The following is a 12,852-nucleotide window of genomic DNA, read 5'->3' on the forward strand; positions in this document are numbered from 1 at the left end:
TGTCTCTTAGGACTAAAAATGTCAGAAGCCTGAGTTTTCCCCAAAGCACAGTCCCAATGCCATAATGCGGGGAGCGTTCAGAGTGGCAGGTGCTTCCTGTCAAGCATGGGGAGGGCAGGGCTGCTCCTTGCTCTTTCTGCAGATGTGTGGAGCACCTGGGACCCAGGAGCAGTGAGATGACCTCGGCTCATCCTGGAGAATCCCAAGTGCCAACATACACGGCATCAGAATTTGAACCTTTTAAATTTGCTGGTACATTTTCTCAGGGGTTACTTACGAGTACTGTGGTTAATTTCTGCTGTAATCATTTTTGAGCATTAATCCATCCCAGGAGTAGAGTTGTTGCATGTGAAAGGGGCTGCCATCTCTACCTCTGCACCTCACACTGTTAGAAACTTGACTGTATTAAATTTTAGTATCTTTAAATTGCCTTTAAAATGTCTGTAAAATACTCTTAATATGATATAGCGTGTTCGTATTTTAACAAGTACTATATCTTAAGCTGAATATTCCAAGTGTGTTATGACTTCATATTCTTGGTCTGGCCACTGTCTGCCATTTTCTTTGAGGTTATTGATAAGAGAGGCTACACTATTATTCATTAGCGCTCATGGAAGCACAGTAAGAAACACTTTGTACGTGATCATTGAGATAGGTAAGGGACTGATGCAACCAGGTTTTGTAATAGAATGGGCTCAAATCTGAACACAGTATAGACAAGTGGGAATTGATAGCCAAGTAGTATTGGGTCAGACTGTGATGAAATATCAAAAGGTAAGAGGTTTGCAAAGCAGACTTAGGGTTCTTTGCTAAAACTGGATTTTACAAGGACGTACACAGATGGGCCTAAAAAGATTTGGTCTGACTCCAGTTGGCCAAGGAAAGAATCTTGATCACTCTACCTGCTGTTCAATTTTTGAAGAATAGTTGTCTTTACCACTGTCTCTTCTGATATTTCCAATAGACGGGATGCAGAGAACTTTGTCCTTAGGTTTGGGTTGATGGTCATAAGCAGCTGTACCTTTCTAGAGCTCTTCCTCACAGACAGCTTATGATGGTTCTACCTCTTCCACTTAGAATTAGGTGGAGGTTGATGAGAATAGGTAAACAGCCTCTTCGCTGAATGCACTTTTGGGAAGTGAACACAGCTGCTGCTTAAAAGCACAGAAATTCCTCAGGCTGAAATGATGGTTATGATCTTTACCCCCAAAGCACTGCAGCCTGGCTCTGAGTAATGTACTCAATATCGGGAGGTCTGCAAGGAGGGAGGGCAGGTGTGGGGTGTGTGTCCATCCTTGGAGTTCTGCTCAAGCTGCCTTTTTATTAAAATGGGGATGCCTGATCCGGACAATGTCGGTCCTGATAGCTGATCTTCAGAAAGAGTGGCAGTAGGAGACTGTTCTCGAACTTACCCTGAAGTCGGTCATGGTAGCTCTGTCTACTCAAGTGGAATCCTGGGAAACATCTGTCTGGTCTACTTCACTTAGCTGTAGTTAACTAATTTCATTCTGTCCCACAGGTCATAAGTGAAAGCGACGCGTGAACTTTGGGATCATGTCCTTAAAAATGTGACCCTCCTCTTCTCCACTGTCCTCTTTATGACTGAGTCCCTCCTCTCTGGGAATAGTAGGACCTCAGAGGAGGAATGTGATGTATGAACCTCCTTGAGGGCACCTGTGTAAGATAAAAGTACTGGTGGGGTATGACGTTCCAGCAAAGAGTACTCTCCCATTAAAGTAGGCCTGGGGTTTGGTAAATGGGTCTGTAGGCCTCAGGTCGAGGAAGATTCAGTGGGTATGCATGTTCCTACAGAGCACCCATTCCCTTGTACCTGGTTGTACAGCCTTCCGACATGTTCCATGCCAAAGGAATGGAAGAAGGCAGCTCAGTTGGCTTGAAAACAACCTCACCTGGGAGAGGCATCTATGCCTGCCCAGACAGAAAGATTGGGTGATGTTCCCCTTCCTGAGATGTTGTAGCGGCTTTATTGCTGCCTTTTTAAGTAAGATCTCGGCACTCTGACCAAGGTTTCCTGGGAGGCATCTTTGTTTCTTTGTTATGCAAACAATGGGATATGAAGCCAAAATATTATGGGTCAAATCTCAACCATATCTCTTGTATACATTGAGTGGAATATTCCAGAGGGCTTCAATTTCCTTTCCTGGAGAACTGTTTAAATATTTGCCAATGACTCATTGCATTATCCTTGGTGTTGTAGGTGTGAGTTTGTTACAAATGGGTAAGATATGGCTCCTAAAAGCATTCACGCACGTGGAACTGATGCCTATAAAACACTGGATATGTGAAAAGATGTTATAAAGGCCAGTAAAATCACCTTCTGTGATACTTAGCAATGAGTTTCTGACAATAGAAGCAGAGAGCTGAGGATAGGAAGAACGCTGAGGTATTCCTTTATGAGTACAAGGGTCTGAGCATAATCTCCACCTCTATAAGCCAGGTCACTGGAATTTTTCTCCTCCAGATGAGCTAACTGCCTTTTGCTGAGATGTTACTGCCTGAAAAACCAGTGAGGGTGAAGGTGTGGCCCCAGGCAGCCCATTCATTCCAATCAAATGTCAGACCACCTGGATGTCTTTAGGTGAAGGATGGGCTCAGTGCCTCCTGAAGCATTGAGAATAATGAGTGCAATAACTGAGTAAGTCAACAGTCAACTGAGGCTAACTTGAACTGAAGGTTTCATCATTTGAAATCTTGGTTTCTCACCCCAAAACAGGTGAGATTGTGTACTGAAGTATTTAAAATAGGCTTATGTAATTTGCCAGATCTCCCTTTCATGTTAATGGATAGTTCTAAGATGACTATGGAAGATATTCACAATTGTCACTCTTCCTTTGAGCAACATGGACGTTAGAAAGTTTTGGTCTCTGCACCTGGCATTCTATCACCACTGATACTCAGGCTCTGGTCATTGATTAACATTACTCTTGGATTCGGCAAACTTTGTTTCTTCCATGCCCTCACCTGTGTACCAGTGCAGGAAGGCCTTGTACGAGAAAATAGCACTAAATTGCTGAGATACACGTGAACTGCTCTAAGATGCTTGAGTATTGTACTGTTCATCACCTGCTGCTTTTCATTGGCATACACCTCACTACATGTTAGGGGAGGAAATGGTATGTGAAATATTTTGTGCACATGTAGTTGATTGAGGGATGCTTTTCTCTATCCTCTGAGCTCATAGGAAAGGTGTGCATCTCATTTTAATTGGACCATTAATGCTTCTTCTATTGAAAGTACTTCTCACCTCTGTCACTTCCTTGAGCTCCCATAATGGGAGGGAGCCTTGCCAATGTCACATTGCTTCATAGAGTGGAAGTTGATGCCAGATGTGTTTGGCTTGGCTTTGCCCACTTCCATGGTGTATGTTGGACCCCCATGCTGGATACAACCTAAGTCATCCTCTGACCCTGGGCTGTGGACATTGTGTGTCCGTATCAGGGACACTTCTAAGCCTGGGATTGGGATGGTCTTTTGCTTGTTCCCACACAGCATGAAAATGCTTTAATAGAGGTTATAATACATAGCAAGAATAGCAAGTGCACACGCAGACATCATAGAACACACTGTAGGTGAATAAAGAATTGATACTCATCATCAGGCACCTGTCTTACAGGTGGGATGGAAGGTGGCACAGAGTGAGCCAGCATAGAGCCTCATCAGAAAAGAAGAGCACTAGGCTTTCCCCAGATAGTGTCAGGGGCTCTGTTCTCTTGTGATCCTGAAGGGTTACAATACTGCTTTTCAGCTAAACAGTATCTCCCCACTCTGAGGAAAGCTTCCTTTCAGGCAAGCTTGTCTGTTTCATCCTGTTATAAAAATGGTGGGAAACATAATGGAAGCAGGAGGAATAAGTCTCTCCTGCCTACATTAGGGTAAAATAAAGGCTGAGGTCTTAGGCTTCTGTTCATGTGACTGTTTTAATGTCTGTTGATATTTCCAACAGTATGCTCATCCCTGCACTTCTCAGTGGGAGGATAATCTAAATGGTACAACTTCTTACCAGCTACCTTTCTCCTAAGTGTCTAAAAACTGGCTTACTCGAGTGTGAATATTGTGTAAAAATGATTAATCTGTCCTCAATATGCCAAATCTTCAGCCCATGGATTGTAGTGAAACCTGACTGGCTTTGCACCGGATCTTCTGTGGATGAAATTGGAAGTTTGGGATGTGTCTGAAACCATCTATCTGTGTTCCCTACAAGGCTAATGAGAGGGACAGGGCTGGACTGGACACTGCACTGTGACCCTCCAAGGGAAAGAATTTGCAGGCTGTCTTTTACCCTTAGTGTGGTATACGTGGGTTTTGTGGTCCTCTTCCCACCAGCCCCTAATGGCGGAGATAATAGGTTGTCTTCCTTCTTGGCTCCCTGATGCTCTTACTCTTTATTCGCCAAAATGGGCTTATTTCTACTAGAAAGCATTTGAGATCATCCGTCTTCCACCATCCAGATATTCTTGGAATTCGAGCTTGTTTATCTCTGGAAACATCTTTTGAGTGGTGACTCCATGGACAGTGTTCCCTGTAAGCCTGGATCTTCCCCCGAGGCCAGCACAACCTGGGCTCTCATATGATTTTTAGTCTACAGGGCATCATCTTCCAAAACTTGTCTTCGTGAGTCATGGGACCAGTATCTTTAGATAGTAGTAGCTTTAGAGACACTTGTTGATCTGTGGGTTTTGTCTGACGGGTTTAGGGTTTGTCTGAGAATACATTTTAGGAGCATGTGCTTCACGCAGAGTGTATCAGATCCCGGTCCTGGATGAAAGGGCATCCACCTGGGTTGGCTATTATCCATAGTGCCTGGCAGATAGGTGGTTTCCTACACTTGGGCATATTTCTGCTTGAATCTTCAAATAGGAAGTGCAAGGCTGAAGGCAGATGGTTTGCAGCCAGCTGCCTCCTGAGCTTTCCTTATTGACACCTTAGGTACCTCTTAGAGATGTGACAGCTGCAGACAGGGTGAGGACAGGGCACAGCATGGCCAGCAGCAGCATGGTCTCTGGGCAGACAGGGCCCATCTGGAGACTGGAGCAGAATTTTGAATCTATTCCAGTCTCTCCCAGTGTCACCCTGCCAGAGATTCACTGACCCTATCAGGTATGGGCAACAGCACAGGGGTGTTAGCATGGTGGAAACTGTTCTTCCCGCCTTCCTGGTCTTAACTCTTTCCTAGCTACTGTTTTGTGTTGATCTGGGGAACGTGTTTCACACATGGCAGAGTGATGTCAGAGAAAACAATTTGCTCAAGCTTTGTATGAAGCAAATTTGGTGTGCGTGGAGAGAAGGGGCCTATCAGGGCGGCTCTGCTGCCGTTCAGTCTGGTGTGAAGCAGGCGCCTCACTGACAGCTCTGAATGTCAGAACTCCCCTCAAGCCTCACTTGTTCTGGCTGGAAAGTTGGTGAGCATGAAACTATGCTGTGGGTGTCTACCTTCCTTGGACAAATGAGCCCAGAGTGCTATGTCAACACTGGATTGAAAAGGGAGTCTGATGTTTTCAGCTTCAGGTCTTATTCTGGGGAAGTTAAAATCGTCGTTAGATGCATGGAAATAGTTTTCCAGATACAAAGGTGTTTTTCCTAAATTCATCTTCCTCTATATGCAGAGGTGCTTTAACGTAGACTGTGATCATATTTCATGTAAATACAGCTCTTAACATTGTAGTCGGCTGGGTCCACTTGACTTTAATTGCAGGCTGTTTCTTCTACCAACCTTGGATCTCAACTGATCAGACAATCGTGGGGATGTTCCGTTCAGCTTTGCTGCTTGTGCAGCTTTCTGCTAATGACTTTGGTCTTTGATTTTGCAGAGAGCATTTCATTTTACATCATTCTATTCATTTTTCCAGTGTGCACAAAAAATGATCATACTCCAAGAAGGGCCTGAGGTTATTGACCTTGCACATCCTATGTCCAGGAAGCAAAGCAAACAGCCACCAAGGGATGAGATGAATTCTTGACTGACCATCACCTCCTTTTCAGGTGGAGGCACTCACTTGGATTGGTACCTGGGCATTGTCTTGCAGTGGCTTCAGGTGTGAAATCTTCCAGTTCCCTTTAGTCCGATTTAGTTGTGTGCGTCTACTCACCTGTGAAAACATGGCCTGCATATGAAACACTCACCTCGCTGTACCTGGAGATCATCTGAGTCAAGATTGCCATGTATTTGGGGATGGCTTGAGCTGGAAGATCTAGGTAGAAGTGAGTATGGACTTCTGTGCTCCTGTGGGGGACCAAGAGAAATGTGACCATATAGAATATTTAAATCTTCCACAGCTATGCCCTGGAAAAGAATGGTGAGAAGTGGGGTATGGCACATTTAGCTTGTGTTGTCCCCATTTTCTCTAGTGTGCTAAGCTTCAAGTCGGTGACAAGGTCAACTCAAAGGATTACGGGGAGGTCTCCGGGCCTCGTATGCTGCTGTGTGGAAGCTCAAGTCTCTGGACCACAGAGGGTTTCCAGGGCTCTCATCTTTTTGTGTGCCCCACCCCCATCCAAGAGACAGAGCTTGGGCCCATCCTTGGCTGATCACATATGTTATACCTGCTCTAGACCTTGTCTCTGTCTCATAAAACCTATGAACTCAACGTCATTTTTTTTTCTACACTTGTGTGTGTCTGTTGCTCTCTAGGGGCCTCCTTGGATGAAGGAGTTGTGTATGTAGACTTGTCTCAGGTTCCTACCTCTCCTGTGGTTAATATACTCCAGAACCTTTGTGTCCCCAGTTGCACTCTGGCACAGTCCATGAGGGATGAAGTACTGTAGGAGAGGCTCTGCACTAGACATCTTTGAAGAGATACATGTGGTTTGGTCTTCTAGTTCCTGCCTGGAATGTCTGTGGAGCCCACCGTGAAGTTCCCCAGCTTGGTTCTGATGTGCTGTATTGGTTGTGTTCTTCCTGGAGAGTGGGTTCTGGCAAAATTGACAAGTCTATGGGCTTTGTTCATCTTGTAAGTCTTAGTGGGAAAAGGACAAGGGCAATGTCCTTTAGAACATCTGTGAAAGGCTCTATCTCTGTTCTTTTCCCTCTGGACTGTTGGGGAGAGCAAGCATGACCTCTCCTGAGTCACAGGATACCTTATAAGAAGCAGGCATCTCTTCTGGGTCACAGTTTGCTATGGAAACTTTTCCACAAATGTGATATTCAGGGCACTGCTTTGGAATTCACCATGAGAGAATAAAGGACTGAATGTAGAATATGTGGTGAGTATGCCTTAGGCTTCTGAGATGTTTCATTTTTTTCAAAGGTAAGAGAGCAGGAAGCTTCCAGCTCCACGGTCACCAATGGCACCTTCTCTGGGCAGGAAGGACTCAGGATTTAAAGGGTACAATTCTGAAAGCATTCCTGTCCCCGTATTGTCTGAGTTCTGGGCCTGCCTGTCTCCTCTGGGGCAAAAGCATGAGCCAGAGCTCGCTCCTTTGATGTGGAAGCAGCTGCTGGGTCTGGCTGTCCAGGTCTCAGCCTACTTCAGAATGCTATATGCAGATGTCTTCTCTTGGCTCAGACCACTTCCAGAACAGTGGCTGCCCATGGAGGAGGTTCACAGCTGCTTGTGAAAAGACTTACATGTACGTGTGTGTACGTGTGCAGGTGGTTAGTGTGCTGCCTCTGCCAGCAGCTGTGCTGACTACGACTCCTGATGAGGAACCTCCTGGTCCCCTCTGAAACGGGAGTCCTGTTGGAGCAGTGTAGCCTCTGGGTGGAGGATGTTGAGAATGCATCCGGGGTCTTGATCAGTTTAGTTGGTTGTTCAGGGAAGGGGCAGTCTGAGAATATTTCTTATATTGGCTGGAATAATTTGGATGATTGTTTCTACCTTTACTGGTGGGTAGCATTCAGTAAAGATATCTAAGTCCTGATAATATTTTGTGGTGAGGTTTTCATTGTAGACTTAGTCTCTAATGTCTTCACGTTTGGACTTGATGGTTCTGTGGAAGCTAAGAAATTATTTTCTGAAACATTTTTGAAAATGAACTGGGCCGTATCCTTCCATGTGTGCTACACATCAGCAGTTCTTACAGTGCTTTTACTGTTTTATGATGGTCTCAAATTGCCTGTGATTCATAAATCTTGGCAGCTCTCTGCCAAAATACTGATTGCCTAATTTCTACAGTTTTTGATATAAAACTTCATAATCTTCTTAATGCAGAACCCATTATGCAAAACAGACGAGTGATTTTTTTCCCCCTGTGGTTTCTTCACCATGTATCAAAGCAATGATGTTGTGACTAAATACGTGAAAGAACAAGCATTGAGTCACTCTTGCCAATAGACAGTCCAGATCACCCTAATCGGTGGGGTTCATTGTTAATCCAGCTGCTCTTCAGTTTCCTCCACTCACACAGCACCTGAGCATTTATGGGATCAGGACACATATTTTCATTGGGAGCAGCAAGGAGCTGTCATCTTTTAGATCAGCCCATAGACACATAGGTGGGGCCTGAGGGGTTTAAGCCCTGTCCATTTCTTGGCTCTTGCCACTGGCTGTTACTTGGTACCTAGGGAGGTGAGCACCCCGGGTCAGTGTCTATCAATTACAAGCAGTTTTCAAAGCATGAGCCTCTCATGAGACTTAGGAATTCTCATTGCCATTTGTTTATTTTTTTCAAGGAACCTTTCACCGAGGCTCAGACCACTTCACAATAACAAGTAAGCAATAGTGACACGTCATATTTCACCTTGTTTTGGTGTAGCTGCTCCCACCTACTTTGATCCTGGCTTCTCTTGGTTGTTGAAGGTATTTTGGTGACATTACCACTCTCCCATTGTAACCAAACACAGATCAGCCACTCACCATTTGCAGACTCCAGTGGCAAGAGTGAGGTATGGTAGAGTGGTTTTTTATTAACCAAAACTAGTAATGGAGAACTGGCCCGATTGCAATCCAAAGTAGCCACTTGGCCTTTCTGGGGAGAAGGCGGTAAGGGTTTATGAAGGGAAAACTTGATAGGGAAGGCATTCATGCAGGAGTTGTGCTGAGTACAAACGCTCTGTCTCATTCCAGTGGCTATCTCAGGCTCAGTCCACCTGGAGCATGGGCTGGCATCATGTCAATGGTGGGAATGCTGAGTAGCTGCCTTGAGGTAATCACAAATTTTAAAGTTGGGCCTCCATGCTTGGCCTGTCTGTCCAAAGATGAGCTCCTGGAACTGCTAAGTAAGCACATAATTAGATACTAGCATATAGTGAAATGCAAAAGAAGAATATGGTGGGAAAGGGAGAGACATGGAGTCTATTTTAAGATTGAGGGAAAAGACTTCTGTAGTTTGCTCACAGGTAACATCTTGAGACTAGGGGGAAGAGGCAAAAAGCTTGTGTTGGAAGTCAACCTGCTTGGTTACATTGTCTTTCTCCAAAGGAGACTCAAAGATTAGTATGCTTTCCCTTCCTTCTTGGTGGTCTGTTTATGGAATCTTCCTTGGTAGACACATCTCATGACCCCTTCCCTTCCTCCACTTTGCATGAATATGAGAATAACTGTCTTTGCAGAAACTATCTGGGAAGAGACCAATGGCTTTTTTACATGAGCACAACAGTCCCATCCTAAATGCCACAGCGGACAACTTTACTGCCAACTAGAAATCGTTGATGAGGTGCTCAAATGGGAAAGTTACAGAACTGTGATGATCTGATCAAAACTCGCAAGGCTGAAACAGTCATCTTTGTCTGTTCTGGGGGTTACTGTGTGGAAATCTGGGGCCATGCTAGACCTACAGCAGTTGAATGAAATATCTCTACTTTTGGGTATAGTTGCAAGTTTTCCAACAATGGGCCTCTGCAGCTTCTTGTCCACATCATGTAGAAGTGAAATGGGGTCTTTGCTCCAATGGAGGGCTGCAAATGTTGCTCGTTAAATGCCCTTGGCATACACTGCAGGAAAACATGGGTTTTGAATCTCTTCATTTGTTTTAATTAAGGCAATGAGCCTTGCCTGTATCTCTTGGGGAAAATGTTTTGAAATTTGGCCGTATGGCCTGTGCTACTGCTGAGTGACACCCTCCAAACATGCCACATCAAGCGTCATTGCACCATTCCACTCTCCCCTTTCCTACCGCCAAGCATCCATAGACTAGCACAGTTGGGTTCCTTTGGTGTAGGCCCTTGTGGAAGATTTCACATACAATGTGGGGTCCAAAGCAATGATGTCTTGTGCCTCTCCTAAAATCAGATGTCAAGCAGTATTTTGTTCTGCATTTGGGTTTGTTTGGCTACATTTAGTTAACCTCCTCTGTAAAGCTTGATCTAGGAGGTACAGGGGTTGTGAACCTGGAGGGAAGAGGGGCAGAGAGGAGCCTGCCCTCTTGTATCGAAAGGCAGATTGAGTCCTCATGATTCAACCTGGGGAAGCTGACTGCCCTGCCGTCAGTAAGCAGGGACAGGAGTCAAGTTCAGCATCTACTGGGCTGAGGTAGAAGCATGTGGCTTTGGCCCTCAGGATCTTACTCCTGACTCCAGTACTGTTCCTTTTCAGTGGATTATCTTGGTGTACACTAAGGTTTGGTGGGGAAAGGGGCCCAAACAGCAAACGCAAATGTGGGAGAAAATACTGACTTGACATCCAATTTTGGGGGAGGCACAGAACATCATTACTTTGGACTTCACATTGCCTGGCTCACCTTAATGTGTAGATTGTATCTGGCTTAAACGATTACACATGGTGCTAAAATACACGAGAATCATTTTCGAAAGCATACGTCCTCAATGGGACTTGAGTTTCTCTCTTTCCATCATCTTAGGTAGTTGAGTGATGACCTCAATAGTGACTTCAGTCAGCCAAGTGGAACTTGGCACTGGTGACAAGCCTCATGTTGGGCTGGCTTTGTGGTTTCTTTCATTCCTGCTGACAGGCTTCTTGTTCTGCCTGATTGAAGTGACCTCCACACCCATACCAGTGCTTCATGAGTATCTTCCCTAAAGAGGACATGTTAAAACTTATGTATATGGTCCATATTGGCAGCTATAAATCTGATTCTAGAATTTCTTTGAGATGGTATGACAACCACTTGCCCCCCTGTTCACAAACTAAATGAATGTAATAAAGGTTGGAAGAGAACAGCCTCTCTGAAGAGATCTGTTCCCTCTCACACAATCCTTTACTGAAGTGGAAATGGGTTGTCTTTATTACCCGCAGTCAGTAGCTTTGAGTGAAACCTTACAATTGAGACGTGTCTGCATGAAAAATGGTAAATGTGTGGTGTCCTGTACTGTGGTGGATTTCTCTCGAACTGCCTGTTGACTCAGCCTCTGATTCCTTATATGGGAGGATCTGGGTGCTACTGACCTAAGGAGTGGGCAGCAGAGGAGAGGCCATTCCTGTAACTTTGACAGGGTTGTTCATCATGGGACAACATCAATACAGATGACTTGTCTGCTATGTTGAGTAAGCTGTCGTCATGGGCTATGTTCTGACCATGGGGTTTAAGCAGGCATGGTGGCTGACCCTCAAGAGCAATGCCTTTCAGAAGGATGTGGCTGGCCCCCGCTTTCCTTTGTGGCTACTGTTCAGTGAGGCCAAGAGAGGGACCCTTTAGAGGCATGGCAGAGAAAGAGTAGCACTGATCTGGAACCTTCTGGTTGTTACACATTCTCAGAGGTGACCATTAACCTAGAGCATGTCACTAATGAGCTGCCCTGCCACTCGTGGGCCCTGAGCTACATTTGAGGGGAGAGAATGGTCAGAAATTGAAGGAGTGAATCTGAATCTTCTGTCAAGGATCCATCAATGGATAAGTGTACTGTTCCCTGAAGGTCACCCATTCTCACCAACCCCAGGGCGTGTGGTTGTCAGGTACCTGCCTTGCAGGTGGGATGGAAGAGAGCACAGAGTGATCCAGCATAGAGCGTCATCAGGGTGTGATGGGGACGGAGAGCTCTAGGCTTTCCCCAAGCAGATAGGGGAGGCTTGTTTTATTCTTGCCTGGGATCCTGAATTTTGTCATGTTGCCCCTCAGCTAAATAGGACCTTCCCGTTCTGAGGAAAGCTTTCTTTGAGGCATGCTTGTTTCATTCTGCTGTCACAAAAAACTGGGAAATAGGAAAAATATCCAGAGAAATCACTGTGGCCTACATCAGAGTGGAATGAATGCTGAGGTCTTGGTTTTCTGTTCATGTGGTTATTTTAATGTCAGTGAATGCGTTTCCAACATTGTGCTTGTCCCTGTGTTTAGGGGGAAGAGGATTTAAAGTCAACTTATTACCATTTTGTTTTTGTAAGCTGTTTGTTTTTAAACTTCTGTCTACATTTCTCATAATCATGGGAGAATTAAACATTTCTTGTGTAAAGATATGCTTAATCTGTCCTCAATATTAAAAATTTTCGGGCTCATAGATGGTAGTGAAGCCTGACAGAGAAACGCCACCTCCCCACTGGATCCTCTGCAAATTGAAACATTAGCACAGAATGTGTCTGAAGTGGTGACCTACCTGCAGGTCTAATCAGAGGTGCACGACTGGACTTTGCACTGATGGACGAAGACAGCCTTGGAGGCTGTCTTCCACGCACACAGAAGTCTAGGTGGGTTTTGTGTGACCTCATCCTGCCAGCTTCGGATGAGATTATAAATGCTGCCAACTGTCTTTCTGGTGCTCTTAATCTTTACATTCCCAAATGGACTTATTCTCATTAGAATGCACTCGGGATTGTTTGTTGTTGACCATCCTGTTTCCCTGGAAGAATTTTCAGCTTTAGTATTTTCTCTGGAAAAATCTTCAGAATATCAACTCCGTGGGCAGTGTTCCTTATGAGCCTGCGTTTATCCCCAAGGCTAGCACAACCTGGGCTCTGAGATCTAGGTTTTGCGGCCACAGAGGATTATCCAATCATTGCTTTCATT

Source organism: Homo sapiens, chromosome 4 (genome assembly GCF_000001405.40).
Source record: "Homo sapiens chromosome 4, GRCh38.p14 Primary Assembly".
Taxonomy (NCBI): domain Eukaryota; kingdom Metazoa; phylum Chordata; class Mammalia; order Primates; family Hominidae; genus Homo; species Homo sapiens.